The sequence below is a fragment of the Homo sapiens genome, chromosome 7, assembly GCF_000001405.40.
Source record: "Homo sapiens chromosome 7, GRCh38.p14 Primary Assembly".
NCBI lineage: Eukaryota > Metazoa > Chordata > Mammalia > Primates > Hominidae > Homo > Homo sapiens.
In genome coordinates this window covers 98,119,480-98,136,072 of record NC_000007.14, presented here as the reverse complement: position 1 = coordinate 98,136,072, position 16,593 = coordinate 98,119,480, and the positions used below count along the sequence as shown (strand labels likewise).

Below are 16,593 nucleotides of genomic sequence, written 5' to 3'. Positions count from 1 at the left end.
GGCACGACAGGAAGCTCCAGGCTCCTCATATTTTCCCTACTCTGCTTGAGAACCAGCCATTGCTCCAAGGAGCTCTGGTCATGATAAGCAGGGAGGGAGGCGGCCTGCAGACTACAGCCTGAGGCCTGCTGTTGCGTGGGGGGCCTCCCCTGACTCTCCAGCAAAGAATGATTTCTACATCTTTAAGGGGCTGTTTAAAAAAAAAAAAGAATATGCCAAGGATACTGCCTGTGAGCCACAATGCCTAAAATATTTTACCGCCTGGCCTTTTCCCATCCCTATCTAGAGCATAAAGATTTTTACATCTTATTTTTAGCAAGTTCTTCATTATCCGGAAAACATATTATTCAACTAGGATAGTTGTGAACCTTTTCTTTGTTAGAGCAAACTATTAAAGTCTCAGCTACTGGAGTTTTACTGAGAAATAAACTTTTCCTTAAAATCCTCATCTATGGCAGGCACAGTGAGCATGCCTGTAATCCCAGCACTTTGGGAGGCCAAGGTGGGAGGATCGCTTGAGCCCAGGAGTTTGAGACCAACCTGGGCAACAAAATGAGACTCCATATCTACAAAAAATAGCAATAAAAATAAAAGTTAGCTGGGCGTGGTGACACGTGCCTGAAGTCCCAGCCACTCAGGAGCCTGAGTGGGAGGATGGCTTCAGCCCAGGAGGAGGAGGCTGCAGTGAGCTGTGAGCACATCACTGCACTCCGGTCTGGGTGACAGAGCAAGACCCTGTCTCAAAAAATAAAAATAAAAAATAAAAATAAATCCTCATCTATGGCTAATTAAGTGTTCAAATGCACCAAAAGGAAGGCAGAGAGATAAATTAATGAGGTTATTTTTTTCTTAAATGAAGCTAGGGTACTTGAAGAGAGGAAAAACTAACCCAAACTCCTAGGTGAGCAAAACACATTCTTGAATCTAAAATAAGCTTCAGTGAAGATCAGGGAAGTCTAAAATGAACTGCAAACAGAACTAAGTTCTTTTTCAATAACAAAAGGTCCCTTTGTGAAAGCAATGCTGAAACACCATTGTTACATGCGGGCTCAGTCTGTGCTTAAGAATAATACAGTTAACCAAGGGGTGTTGAGAATCTCCGAGTTCTAAATCAACAAAGTCTAAAACAGAGGAAAGCCCATACATTTAACACAGGAGGTAACTCGGTGCTTCCTCTTGAAACCAATCTGGAGGAAGTCAACTTTCAATGAGAACAAGAACTCCCTAACCACAGACACACTTGTGTCCATTTGGAAAACCTAAACTAAGTGAGGAGCTTGAGGCACTGAGAGCCAATTCTTATGAAGACCAAGAAGGATGATTTTCTTCTCTTCCTCCTTGCAGTGAGCTGTTCACTCATCCAGACAAGAAGCCTGTGCTTCCCCACTGGAATTTCTTCTTCTTTTTTTTTTTTTTCTATTGAGAGATGGGAGTCTCACTATGTTGTCCAGGCTGGTCTTGAACTCCTGTGCTCAAGTGCGCCACCCACTTCAGCCTCCCAAAGCGCTGGGATTACAGGCATGAGCCACTGCGCCAGACTGCTGGAATTATTTCTGAAGAACTGTGCTTCACTCCCGATGCACATAATAAAAATTAAATTTGACTCCTGAGGAAAGCAAAGCGCTTTCACGTACACTGTTTTTTATTGATTGTTTTTAAAGACGCATTTGGATTGTAAGGGAGAATAAAAAGAAAAAATAACACACAGTTTGTCCACTGCATCTCTGAATTTCAGGTGCATCTCACACTTCAAGTTAGCTTAACTGGCAGCATTTCTTCTTTTTAATGGTACAAAACTAAGGGTGTGACTTATCATCAACCTCATCTGACATTTGATAAAATACAGCATTATTTCATTTGGCTGTCACAATACCTCTGAGGTAATACGACCAGCTCCACGTCACAGATGAAGAAACTGATATGCCCATGAACCCAGGTGGGACAGTGGCAGGCCAGACTGAGTTTAGGTGTGCTGGGTGCAAGCTCCCTCGCTTTCCTTGAAACCCCACTGCTCTGCCTCTATGTGGTTAACCTTTAACACTTAAAAACAGCCCACTGTCCTTTGAACCCAAGTCTGTCATTAATTAGGGTAGTTTATACTTCCTCAAACTCCACATAGCTGATCTTGACTTACTTTTTCCTCTCTTGCACCCAGAGTTTTTGTTTTGTTTTTTTAAGCATCACAAACTACTTATTTATTACAGAACTGGATAAGGACTGTATGAATGCCAGCCTAATTATCTGATTCATGAAAGTGTCCTCTGTGAGTCACTAGATAGGTATGAAGAGTATAACCAGGTTAAGACCAATGAACTATGCCACGCTTTGCCCTAGCTCTCTGCTACACTTACTTCTGCTAGGGTCTGCAGGGCACCTACTCTCCCTTAGATTTCCTCAGTGTGAACCACACTTACTCAACCTCAGTATCTAACAGTCCCATTAAAACTACTGCCTCAGAAATTGACTAGGTAGCTTCAAGTAGACATTTTTAGTTACCCCTTTTTAAAACTTTAAAGTATTTTTCTTTTGATGAATCCAAAAGCACTGTGCTATAAAAAAAAACTCTATTTAGCAATGAAAAAAAAAAACTTCCATAAAATGAGGAAATCAAACATAGGCTGGAAGGTGAGATGGGTTTGCAGAAACCACAGAGAGGAAGTAAATTCTAGACTTGAGGAACCACAAATAAAATCCCTATACCGCCGTGGTCAAACTAGAAACCAGTCCCTGACACAGTTCCTGACTGCAGCTGTTAGAACCTGATAAAGAAAGGCAGCTTTAACATGCAGCCTACAGCACTGAGAAGGGCATACGTCGAGCCAGTCATCTACCAAACAACATCAAGAACAGGCATCACCATACATTTAGGCAGCTTTTCCCATCACAAATTGAGAGCAAGCACCACATGAGGTCTGGCGGAATACGTATGCTTTCCCCAAGACACTGATTAAAAAACACCCGGCATGTCTACAGCACATTCTGTGAGTTTTCATTTAATAGTTTTCAAAGCATTTTAATAGCTACCTAGAACTTGATTCAATAAGCAGAAAACTTGAGAAACTCTAAGAGGTAGGTACATATTATCTGTTTTAGAGACAGGTAATTTGGAGAATGCAATTTCTCAGTAATGACTCAAGGTAAGCCAGGAATACCACCTATTAATTCAACCATTATAACTCCAGCCCAATTATCTGATTCACGATCTCTAGAACCTCAGATGAAACTGGACCCATATGTAATTAACTAAAGAGTTGTCTGTGAAGCCATTTTGGGATTCAATTAAAAAAAAAATTAAAGGCCACAGATAAAAAGAAATGATGATCAATATTTAGATCCATTAGGGATTACAAAATGCTGGATATCCTAATGTTGTCATTCCTTGTTCAGTCACTAGTGGATATGCTTTTATAAAGAGAAATTTCCTCACATTTACTATTTGGTTACCCAGTGGTTCAAGTCATAAGGAAAAGGCAGACTAGATACTTCAATCTTTCTCTTTGCCAGTTTTTAAAAAATGAGTTGGTGGTTGGGTGCGGTGGCTCACGCCTGTAATCTCAGCACTTTGGGAGGCCAAGGTCGGGGGACCGCAAGGTCAGGAGATTGAGACCATCCTGACCAACATGGTGAAATCCCGTCTCTACTAAAATACAAAAAATTAGCCAGGCGTGGTGCCGCGCGCCTGTGGTCCCAGCTACTCGGGAGGCTGAGGCAGGGGAATTGCTTGAACCCAGGAGGCAGAGGTTGCAGTGAGCCAAAATTGCGCCACTGCACTCCAGCCTGGGCGACAGAGTGAGACTCCGTCTCAAAAAAAAAAAAGTTGGTTCACTAGCATCCTCTGGCAGTGACCAGTTCAGAGAGCTGCTGTCACTGTTTTGTGGTATCATCATGAGCTAATGGATTTAAAGCACCCACAGGCTTCCATCCGTTGTGGTTGTTCTGATTGACACTCCCATTGTCCTGTCTTTGGCAAGCAGGGCCTCTAAAGCGGTTTGCTCCCAAGCCCTCCCACAGGGTCCCGGCAGGCCTGGGTGGAGTTCTTGTTCCCTGGGTTGTTCCAGGCTCATCTTTTATAGTTTCTGTTTCAAACCTCCTATCAATCATTTCCCCAAAGAGCCCTGGTTTCTTTTAAAGTGAACTGCTAATGTAAAGACCTCGGTTCAGGAAGTAGAGCTGCTTATTCACTGCTGGTGTCACAACTACCTTAGAAAACAATGTATCACAGTTTTGTAACATTGAACTTTGGTACCCCTGTGGTCTAAGCAGCTGCTCTCTTCGGGTAATAGGGATCAGGAAACTGTGGCCACTGGGTGAAATCCTGCCCACAGTTTTTGTTTTGGTATGGCCTGAAAGCTAAGAATAATTAAGAATTCACGTTTTTAAATCGTATTTTTAATCCAAAATAACATTTTATGACACATGAAATTTATATCAATAGCTGATAACACAGAAAGACAGACATTATCTCCTGACAGAAAAACACATCACCACCTATGCAACAGTACTGCCCAAAACAAGCAAACAAAAACAATATCAAACCTGAATCTAATCAACCACCTAGATCCAAATGTCAATGTATAGGAAACATTATGAATAGCGAGACATGTGAAATACCACCACAAGAATGTAATCAGCAAAACACAGGCTGTGAAAAACACTTGGGGAGAAAAGCCTAGGAAAATGTAAAAAAGAAAGAGATGAAGAGAGGGAGAGTGGCAAACATTAAAAGACTTAAACGACCTACCCACCAATTCCAACATATGGATGTTATTTGAATCATGATTCAACCTATTTTAAAAACTATGACATTTCAGGCTATTGGAAATCTGAACACTAACTGACCATATTAAGAAAATGTAATTCATTTCTCCTTGGAGTGATAATGGTCATGTGCTTGTTTTTAAATGTAGTCCTTATCTTTTGGAGATAGTGACCTACTTAATGATGTCTGGAATTTGCTTCCAAACAGCACGAGGGCGTGGAGAAAGTGGACGGGGGCAGCATGAAGAAAGATGGGCTGCAGCTAATTCAGGCTGGGTGGAAGCTGTGTGGGAATTCATTACAGTATCTATGTCTTGCATGCTTGAAGCTTTCATTTATTAAATGAATTTAAAAGTTTAAATGGAAGAAAGCAGATATCATAATTTATAATCCATATTCTTGCCTACTCTTGATATGGCCATTAACGTGCTAGGGCTGTCATAATCAAGTATCACAAACTGGGTGACTCAAATAACCAAAATTTATTCTCTAGTTTTGGAAGCTCCAAGTCCAAGATCAAGGTGGCAGCAGGATGGGCTCCTTCTGAGGGCTGTGGTGGCAGGGTTTGTTCTAGGCCTCTCCTTGCTTCTGGCAGCTGGCTGCCTTTTCCCTAAGTCTCTTCCCATCATCTCCCCTCTACGTGTGTCTGTGTCCAAATTTCCTCTTCCTATATATAAGGACAGCAGTCACACTGGATTAGGCCCACCCTCATGACCGCATTTTCACTTGATCATCCCCGTAAAGACCCTCTCTCCAAATAAGGTCCCATTCTGAGGCACTGGGGTTAGGGTTTCCACGTATGAATTTAGGGGGAACACCATCCAACCCATCTCTAGGACAGATGCTTAAATGAAAACAAGGAAAAACAAAGAAGAGCCAAAGACCAGTAGGTGCACATATAACAGCAGCTACCTGCAAGGACAGAAACAGAGTGGCTGGGGGACAGAGTGTGCTATATCCTTTCCTATTTGTTGGTATAGCACAAAGGTGCTATATCCTTTCCTATTTGATGAATTTTGTACCCCCAGCTTCTCGCCATCTTTAACCTAATGGCAAAATTCCTTCATAAGGCTTCAGCATCCAACGTTGCCTGGCTACTTCTGACCTCCCAGCCCCGACTCCATCACTCCCCGCCAGCTCTCTACTATGAGCTATGATGACCCTCTCTCCATCCTTCCAGATGGATCTTCTGCCAATTCATTCTCATATCTTCCACCACCCAGAGACGCTAACATGACATGCTCCCCTGCCCCCACCATTCATTCATCCCTGCCCATCAGAGCTCAACTCAGAAACCATCCTTGAGGCCCGCGGTTGGAGTCCCTGCCTGTGCACCCCCAATTACCGTGCATCGGCCCATGGAATCTGTCACTCCATGTTGCAAATGCCCATATGCCTTCCCCACTAGGCTGCAAGCTGAATGGGGTCACGGGCCAGGCTTGTATAATCCACCAATGACTCCCCAGAGCCTAGCCCAGCGCCTAGCATTCAGGTAGAAGTCGGGGTAAGAAAAAGGGAAAAAAGTTAGAGAGCGATGAAGGGGCATGAGCAAGCGAGGGAAAATAAGCAAGCAAGGGAACGAAACAGGAAAAACAACAACAACAGAAAGAAACCATAACCAACCTACCGGATCACAGAATAAACTTACGAGCTAGGCACAGTGGCTCACGCCTGTAATCCCAGTGCTTTGGGAGGCTGAGGTAGGAGGATCACTTGAGCCCAGGAGTTCAAGACCAGCATGGGCAACATAGTGAGACATCATCTCTACAAAAAGTGTGAAAAATCAGCCAGGTACGGTGACACACACCTGTAGTCCCAGCTACTTGGGAGGCTCACCTGAGCACAGGAGGTCAAGGCTGAAGTAAGCTACGATCACACCACTGCACTCCAGCCTGGACAACAAAGTAAGACCCTATCACAAAACAAAACAAAACAAAACAAAACAAAACAAAACAAAACTGAATAAACTTATGGGCCAGGTACGGCGGCTCATGCCTGTAATCCCAGTGCTTGAGCTCAGGAGTTCAAAACCAGCCTGGGTCTCTACAAAAAAATACAAAAACTTAGCCGGGCGTGGTGGCATGAGCCTGTAGTCCCAGCTACTCGAGAGGCTGAGGTGGGAGGATGGCTTGAGCCCAGGATGTTAAGGCTGCAGTGGTGTGCGATCGTGCCACTGCACTACAGCCTGGGTGACAGCCTGGGTGACACAGTGAGACTGTCTCAAAAATAATAATAATAAACTTACGTTTTCAGGGTCAAACAAATAAGATTATAAGAGAAGCATCCTTCAACAATTTTACACTCTTACTCGGGACATTTTCCCACTGTTGACATACACTGTATTGGAGTGGTGAGATGCTTACTCCCCAGGGCCCCAAGAACTCCCACAAACATGTACCCATTTTGCTTCAGCTGCCTAACTAAGGTGTTTTATTAAGAAATACATTATCTCAAAAAGTGGATTTCCTCCAATTTATGTTCTCCCTCAAAAACAGGTGTTTACCCACACGCACCATGTTCTCGCACAGCCTCATCTTACTGGAGGCCATCAGTGCATTCTACTCAGTGCAGGCAAAGCGAGAATCCAAAGGCAGCCTCTTCCCCAGGGAGCCCCTGGAGCACAGGACTCAGAAGAAAGCCCCACACACGGGCAGAGCCACAGCCCTCGGACCTCTATGCCAACGTGTGTTTAGGAACAAAACAGGAATCTTAATTGGTGCCATCTAAGATGTGATTTAAATTTGTTTTAGTCTGAACACTGCGCGTATCAGTTTGCTAGGGCTGCTAAAACAAAATACTACAGGCTGGGGGTTTCAACAGCAGAACTTGACTTTCTCACAGTCCTAGAGGACTAGGTGTCGGCAGGGCTGGTTTCTCCTGAGGCCTCTCTCCTTGGCCTGTGGACAGCAGCCTTCTCCCTGCATTCTCAAAGGGGCTTTCTTCCGTGTGCATCCCTGGTGTCTCTGTGTGTGTCTAAAGTTCCCCATTTTACAAGGACAACAGTGAGAATGGACTACGGCCCGCCCTCAGGACTCACCTGTTTAAAAGGCCTATCTCCAAATACAGTTATAGTTTGAGGTACATGGAGGGGTAAAACTCAGCCCCTAGCACTGTGTCAATTTACTAATCTTTTCACCTTTTTAATTATTTATTTACTTATTTATTTATTTAGAGATGGAGTCTTGCTCTGTCTCCCAGGCTGGAGCACAGTGGCGCGATCTTGGCTCACTGCAACCTCCACCTCCCGGGTTCAAGCGATTCTCCTGCCTCAGCCTCCCAAGTAGCTGGTATTATAGGCACCTGCTACCGCACCCAGCTAATTTTTGTATTTTTTAGTAGAGACGGGGTTTCGCCATCTTGGCCAGGCTAATCTCAAACTCCTGATCTTAGGTGATCCACCCACCTTGGCCTCCCAAAGTGCTGGGATTACAGGCATGAGCCACCATGCCCAGCCTTAATTTTTTATTTTTAAGTGTACAAATAGGTGTATATATTTATGGCGTATGTGTGACGCTCTGATACAGGCATACAAAGTGTAATAACCACATCAGGGTATTTGGGGTGTCCGTCACCTCAGGCATCGATCATTTCTTTGTGTTAGCAACACTCCAATTCCACTCCTTTAGTTATTTTAACATATACTTGGTCCATGCATTAATTGAAGAAAGCCAATCCCACTGGCAGGGGTCCATCCTTGACAGCACAGACACAGGCATGAGGGCATCCTGCCTTCTAACTGGAAAAGCAAGTGTAAAGCAAGGGCCAGGTCCTTACACATCTCGCCTGTTTTCTGTTTTGCCCAGACCCTCTTGCCTCAGGGAATTTGCATAGGAGAATTCTGTGCCTACTTGAAAATTAACAATGGTGGCTACTTAGACAAAGGTTAGACAAAGAAAACTCATAGAACTGAGGGAAGCTAAGGGCCAGCAACCTTCCAAATGGGCCCAACATAAAGCCCATCTCTAAAACACATCGTTTGGGCCTTTTTCTCCTAGCACGTTAGGACCACTAAGCCTGTCTTCCTCTTCTAACACCCTGACAAGTAGCACTGCAGCCCAGAGACTTAATAAAATGAATCATCATCACACTACTTGGGGAAAAAAATCTGAACAATTATTGCAGATCACACATTTTTATTTAACGCCTCAAACTTACAAACCCATCTATCATCAAGGTTTCCTGTACACAGAATTTTAAGTCACAAAGTGTTTTCTTTGCCATAATATAACAATATATCTATTTATAAGAACATTAAATAACCTAGAATCTCCCTCAGGTATTCTAATATAGGAAAGGAAAAGGGAAATGAAGCGTGGCAGTAAATATACTCAGTCACACACAACAGTAAAGAGTGCACTGATGATCTCGTTCATGAATCAGAGATACCACAAAGACCCTAAGCCAGAATCTCAACAGCCTAGAGAAACAGATCGCTCTGTGTGCTAATCACAGACAGGGAAGAGTTCCTCTGTTCAAAAGTGATTTTCAAGGTCAGCCAGCCCAACTGCTCCCTCACACTTGCAGAAAGGTTATATAATTTGAGTGCTAATTAAATACCTGTGAATGAGATCATTTTATACGAAGCTGCTGGTTTCTCTCAGACTATTCCACTAAAATTTGTTATCAAAGTGCCATTTCATTCCCATTTTAAAACACTAACTAGGATGGAGACTACTACAGAAAAGCTCATCTAAGGCAGCACGGTGTGGCCAAAAGAATGTCGGGCTTGAATGACTTCTGCCAGATGACTGGGCCCCCACACCCCAAGAAATGAAAGGCTGGATATTCCGGAACTGGAACCTTGGTTAAGTTGCTGGCAGAGCTGAGCTATGGCGTCATCCACGGCACTTCCATGTCTTTAACAGCTTTGAATGGTGGTTCCACACTCCGGAAGCCGATGCAGGAACGGGAAGCATCTAGTCCCAGAAGGAGAGACTCAGAGCCAGATTCCCAGGGCTCAACCCCACAACCATCCCTGCAGTGGACCACCAACGTCTAGGGGAAGGATATTCTGTTTTGTCACACAACTTCCCATGTACGTCTGCAGAGATGTGCAGGCGAGTCAATGGCAGTACTAGATTCACAACACTTCGTCAATCCAACTTCTGCACAATACAGCTGAAAGATGGGAGAAGTGGCCTAAATGTCTGCTCCTTACTTCCCATGTAGGACAGACCCTAAATAACCTAGAAAAACATGTCTACTTTTTCTTTCAAATCTCCTACAATCCCTCGATGGAGTCTATGTTCTCAGAGCCCTGCTGGCTTCCTAAAGCCTAACTTAAGTTCTTGCAAATATAACTGAAATGCAATCTTAGGCAATGTGTCCTTCCAAGTTCTCTCTTCAGAGAGGAAGTACCCGGTGCTACTATTGAATATTGAAGCAGGCCTGGCGGTGAGAGACGGCTGGGCCCGGGTATGGGGAGAGAGAATTCATTATGCTCTTCTCTCTACTTCTGCATATGTTCAAAATCCTCTACAATGAAGTTTTGATTTTTAAGTACCATCTTCGAAACTAAGTCAGAAACTGGTTACAACAGTGACCTTGACAAGGTTCTACAGCACACAAAGGCAAGATCATCTAGGGTTTCCTATTTGATAATGCTTCAACTGTTGTCTTTATGTCATACAGAAAAATAAGCCCAAAGACAATTCAATATCTAATTAGGTGCTTCCAGATACTCAGGTATCCAGCCCAAGATAAAATACCCCCAAATAGTTAAGAGGGTTATGGGACAGGGGTGTCACCTACTGAAATGGCTGCGCAGTCACCCTACTGTGAAGTTCACCAGGCAGAAAGACCCACCAACACATTCATTCATTCAACAAACATTTACTAAGCATCTTATAAGACAGGTGCTGCTATAGGTTCTGAGAATAAAGAAGTGAAAAAAACAAAGTCCCTGCACACAGGGCAGACAATAAGCAACTAAGTAAATATATGATACGTCAGATGGCAAGAAGCAATATGGAAAAATAAAACAAAGGACTGGGGAGATTTTTTTTTTTTTTTGAGACGGAGTCTCGCTCTGTCACCCAGGCTGGAGTGCAGCGGCGTGATCTTGGCTCACTGCAAGCTCTGCCTCCCAGGTTCATGCCATTCTCCTGCCTCAGCCTCCTGAGTAGCTGGGACTACAGGCGCCCGCCACCACACCCAGCTAATTTTTTGTATATTTAGTAGAGATGGGGTTTCACCATGTTAGCCAGGATGGTCTCGATCTCCTGACCTCGTGATCCGCCCGCCTCGGCCTCCCAAAGTGCTGGGATTACAGGCGTGAGCCATGCGCCTAGCCTGGACTGGGGAGACTGTTATTTTTTATGGAATGACCAGGGAACACATTTCTGATATTACAACTAAATCATGCAAGAAATGACAGTGATTTGATACCAGGAGGGTTATAAAAATAGTCAATATTTACATGTTGCTTACAATGTTCCAGGCAGTATTCTAAACTCTTCCAATTCCATAACAACTCTTTGAGGTAGGTAGTATCATTAGCCCCATTTTATGTTATTATTATTTTTTTTTTAGAGACACAGTCTTGCTCTGTCACCTCGGCTGGAATCAGTGGTATAATCATAGCTCACTGCAGCTTTGAACTCCTGGGCTCAAGCAATCCTCCCACCTCAGCCTCCCGAGTAGCTGGGACTACAGGTGTGCACCACCATGCCCAGATAATTTTTTAATTTTTTGTAGAGACAGGGTCTTACTACATTGCCCAGGCTGGTCTCTGTCTCTTGGCCTCAAGTGATCCTCCCACTTTGGCCTCCCAAAGTGCTGAGATGACAGGCATGGGCCACCACCCTTGGCTAATTTTTTAAAATTTATTGCAGAGATGGAGTCTCACCATGTTGCCCGGGCTTGTCTTGAACTCCTGGCCTCAAATGATTCTCCCCACCTTGGCCTCCCAAAGTGCTGGGAAACAGTCATGAGCCACTGTGCCTGATGAGCCCCATTTTAAAATGAAGAAACGGAGCACTGAAGAGGCAAAGTAACTTCTCCAAGGTCAGACAGTACATGGTGAGGCTCAGAGTGCAAGCTCTTCCCACTCCATGACAGAGCAGGGGACGAAAGCAGGTGGAGCCAGGACTTGCTGGCAGATGTGAGGTGAAGCTGGAGGGAAAAGGGGACATGGAGCACACCTCCAATCCATTTATTAACTCCCTGCTCTGAAAGAGGAACAGACTTTCAAGTATCACCTGACATTTGAAAAACCTCTTAGGTAAAAGACAGTGCCCAACCCAAACAGATATAAAGGAACCTGAGGGAAACAGACAATGCAGGGGCTAAAAAATAATAAAAAACAACAACTATATTCTCAGAAATAACAAGAGACAGTATACTCATGAGAGGAAAGAGGCTATTTAAAAAGTGGGAGAGGAGGCCTCCTGGAAATCAAATGAAATTGAAAAAAATACTTGCACATAGCAGTAGAACACAGACAAAAAGATCAACAGAAGTAAAGTAGAAGCTCATTCCAAAACATCCAACAATCTGCTGATAGAAGCTTTAGATGGAAAGAACAAAGAGAAGGAAGAGAATTCTTCCCAAAAAGTGTGTGCATATATACACATACATGTGTATGTCTGTGTGTGTGTGTGTGTGTGTGTATATATGAAAATTGGCCAGAACTAAAGCACACAACTTTCAAGGTTCAAAGGGCCCATTGTGCATCCATGTTGATGAATGAAATGGATGAAACGAGACTCATACCAAGGCACAGCTTTACAACTGTTCAGATCTAGACACATAGGAAGTCTTAAAAGCTTCAGACCTCTCAAGAGGCTGGACAGCGGCCACAGAGACACCACTGCAAGACTGGCATAGGACACAAGGGTTCCAGGACACAACAGCCAAACACACGGAGAGGAGATTTAAGCTGCTGACAAGGCACCTGGGACGGATTAATGATGTGTTCATAAAAAACTAACCAAAGAACTGTAATCATCACAAACACTATAGGGTCAGTTGTAAACAATGTCTGTAGCCATAAAAATGTAAATAATGAATGCTGATTTAATGGAAAAGTTTAAGTGACTGTGTTGAGAAAAAGGGTGAATGCACGTATGTGTGTGAATATATAAATCCTTGTCATGCATAGTAGAAACTCAGTATCTGATTAAAGCAACAAACAGTGCTACAAGCACATTAGCCCACAATGTGGCTAAAAGAGCTGCAGGGCGTTGCCACTGGGAGCCAGCAGCAGGGATGGGGAGGAACGGGACAGGACAGGGATTCACTATTTTTATGATAAACCCTGAAAAACTATTTAATTTTTTAAAACTATTTACATGCATCATTTGCAAATATAATTTACAAAATAGATCAAGGGGGAAGGAAAAAAAAAAGAGAACCAAGGAGATAAGAAACAACATTTAAGGGAGGGGACAAAGAAACAGAGCTGATAGGAAACAGGAAAAAGGATGTTTCGGAGGCAACAGGGAGGCATACTACCATGGAAGGCAGAGGAGAAAAGCATGTTTAAAAGTGTTATGCAGGCCAGGCACAGTGGCTCAGCCTGTAAGCCCAGCACTTTGGGAAGGGACACCCCAGCCTAGGGGACAGAGTGAGATCCAGTTATATATATACACACACACACACACACACACACACACACACACACACACACACACACACCATGTAGAGTTATTCACTGAACTGTTATTTATTATATAAGCTGACAGCAAGGGTCCAGGAGCAGGAGACAAAGAGGACATAAGTGAGGGATGCTGCAGCTGCCAGGAAAGGGTGGGATGAGAGGCATGGGTCACAATGCCTTGTTTTAAAGAGCTGAGAGAAAGAAGAGGAGAAAAATGACATTTGTTGACTGTTCCACACGCTTTTTAAAATACCTGTCCGTGACTCTTGAAAGGATATACAAAATATCCGCCAATGAGCATTATTCTTGGGACCTACAGCAGTTGCGGATTCCTAAAACCATCCAGGGTTGGAGGAGGGTGAGAACTGGGAAACTGCCTATGGGGTACTATGCTGATTGCCTGGGTGACAAAATTATCTATACACCAAATCCCCACGACATGCAATTTACCCACGTGACAAACCTGCACATGCACCCCCCGAAACAAAAACGAAAGTTGGAAAGGAAAAAAAAAGGAGTCCAGACCTCCACAAAAGCATATAAATCAATGGTGGTGTTTAAAGTATCTTTCATGTTTACAAATGAATGCTTACAAGTTTATGATTACACTTCTTAAAAGTCAGAAACATTTTTATTACCTTTAATTAAATGGTATAATGTCATCTCATAGGTAGAAACTAAATAGTTGTTTTTACAATTTTTTTTTTAACCCGAGACACGGTCTCGACAGTCCGGCTCTGTCGCCCAGGCTGGAGTGCAGAGGTGCGAACACAGCCTAGACCTCTCAGGCTCAAGTGATCCTCCCACCTCAGCCTCTTGAGTAGCTGTAACCACAGGTGCACACCACCACACCCAGCTAATTTTTTTAAAAAATTTTTGTAGCGTCGAGGTCTTGCCATGTTGCCCAGGCTGGTCTCGAACTCCTGGCCTCAAGCGATCCAGCCGCCTCAGCCTCCCAAAGTGCTGGGATTACAGCCCTGAGCCACCATGCCCGGCACAAATTTAAAAACAATATGAATGTGATTTTTTTCAGCCTAATTATGGAAGCTAGCACTTTGGTTTCCTAATTTTCTTTTTTTTTTTTGAGATGGAGTCTGGCTCTGTGCCAGGCTGGAATGCAGTGGCGCAATCTCGGCTCACTGCAACCTCCACCCTCCTGGGTTCAAGCGATTCCTCTGCCTCAGCCTCCCGAGTTGCTGGGACTAAAGGTGCACACCACCATGCCAGGCTAATTTTTTTTTTTTGTATTTTAGTAGAAACAAGGTTTCACCATGTTGGCCAGGATGGTCTTGATCTCCTAACCTCATGATCCACCTGCCTTGGCCTCCCAAAGTGCTGGGATTACAGGAGTGAGCCACCACGCCAGGCTTGGTTTCCTAATTTTCAATATGGCATTTTCTTTAGTACTTCAAGAGGCAATCTTATGATTCGTAGTTTAACATTTCACCCCAGTACTTTCAGAGAATATACAGAAATCAATATCCAGAGAAGTGGCTGGAGTTGGGTCTCCGTGTGTGCATGCGCATCGCACTACAGAGGTTCTTTAAAGCACAATGCGGTTCACCAGGGTGAACGGGTGGCCTGGACCTTAGGACCCTCACTCTTGAATCGGACCTGCCCCTAACTGGCGGTGTGAGACTGACTGCATCTGTAAAACTGGCATTTCAACTCTAAAATTCTACAGACTAGGATTTACGGTCCCAACATTTTCTAAGTCTACCGGGTGCCTATACGGTTAATGTTGGTGATCAGCTCTTTATTAAAGTGAATTTTCTTTTCAATACAGAAAACTAAGTTAGATGACAGATTCCCGAATTGTACTGCTGTGGCAGGCCTCTGGGAGAGTGTTCCCAGGGGGCTATTTTGGTAAGTTGGTTATTTTTCAGTGCCTTACCAGCAATCAGTGTCAGGGTGTTGCATTTTAATAACAGTCTGAGGTAAGAGTCAAGTGGGGCTCTGCTCAGTAACTGACAGGCTGGATCCGGGGAAGCAACCGCTGCTGCCTAGATAGGGAACCCTTCTACAGGGGCAAATTGCCAGGAAAGAATGGGGACAGGATATTTTTTCCTCTTGAAAGGGGCACAAGTTTAATTTATTGAGGGTTCTGAGAAGAATCTGCGATGAGAAAAATACTTTAAACTTAAATTTAGTGGCTAATCTGAGAGGCCACCAATAGATCACAACACTTTAGTTTTGCAGTAAAAAGCTGCAACTACAAAATTTTATAATTACTAGTTGGTTAAAACAGATATTTTAAATGTGCAAAATGATTGCAAACTTCTCCTCCTTTATCTTCTAAGTCCAAGATGTCTTGGGGATTTACTTCCTATAATTAAAGGTTGCAATTATACCATGTCAAACTCAAGTCCCTTCCTCAGTCTAGCAAAAACAGGGAAAACAAAGTTTGGGGATGGACTGAGAATATGAGCCTGAAGGGGGAAAAAAAAATAAGCCTTTTAAAATTATAGTGGTTTCACTTTTAAATAAGAGCAGCTCCTCTCTCAAAAACCGCTATCATAGATGTAACTAAATTCTTTTCTCCCACCCAAGGCATACATGTTGTCAAAAAATAGTCTGTACTAATACAAGAGCCTATGGTGTTCTTCATCAAACCCGACTGATGATTATACAATCATTATAATGTAGCAGCTTCAGAGACAGTTTACTTTTTTTAGCTCATCATAAGAAAATTTTGTACAGATCAATCATCCACAGCAAATATATCAAAATATAACAACAAACAGCTTTTAAAAAAAAGTACCTATCAAAAAATATGAAATAGGCTACAAATCCTAGGCTACACCTAAATGAGTTAGCTTAGAAAAATAAACTTTTTAAAAGCAAGATGCTAACAACATATTATCCTAGCAAAACAAAACACCCTGCAAGTTACCGTATAGATTACGAATCAGGGGTTCTCACGTTACAGCACACCCATTTATCACCAAGGGAATTAAGAATGTCACGGTTTTATACCTGCTCTCAAAATTTCCCTACGAGTCACCTGCCACCCTGACTCTAGCTGCAGTGAGCTGAGGCCTGGTGGTCCAGGACTGGCACCAAGATTCTCAGCTCACGGTACCAGCATCTGATTGTCGGACTACCTGCTGTTTTCCCTGATATTTATACATGATATTCGTAAAATGTAAAGAAGCTATTATTCATACAGACATCTAGAGAAGGAGTGAAGTTTTTAAAAAAATAAAAAAATACTTATTTCAAGCTTTAGCTGTGTT

At 43.3% G+C, this 16,593-nt stretch overlaps 1 protein-coding gene across 2 annotated transcripts in view, besides 2 other annotated features; it reads right to left on the bottom strand.

The window, feature by feature from the left end:
* The window catches only part of LMTK2 (lemur tyrosine kinase 2), a 102,777-nt gene that overhangs the window by 73,566 nt on the left and 12,618 nt on the right, over positions 1-16,593 (bottom strand). The window lies entirely within an intron of this gene.
* Positions 2,573-2,622: an enhancer, noted in NCBI's record as "active region_26304". NCBI's record gives its function as "activates an Ori minimal core promoter by ATAC-STARR-seq in GM12878 lymphoblastoid cells {active_cell/tissue: GM12878}" and the evidence as "EXISTENCE:reporter gene assay evidence [ECO:0000049][PMID:35858748]".
* Positions 3,182-3,682: an enhancer, noted in NCBI's record as "H3K4me1 hESC enhancer chr7:97761703-97762203 (GRCh37/hg19 assembly coordinates)". NCBI's record gives its function as "activates a minimal SCP1, AML or CMV promoter by ChIP-STARR-seq in naive H9 embryonic stem cells {active_cell/tissue: H9 hESC(naive)}" and the evidence as "EXISTENCE:reporter gene assay evidence [ECO:0000049][PMID:30033119]".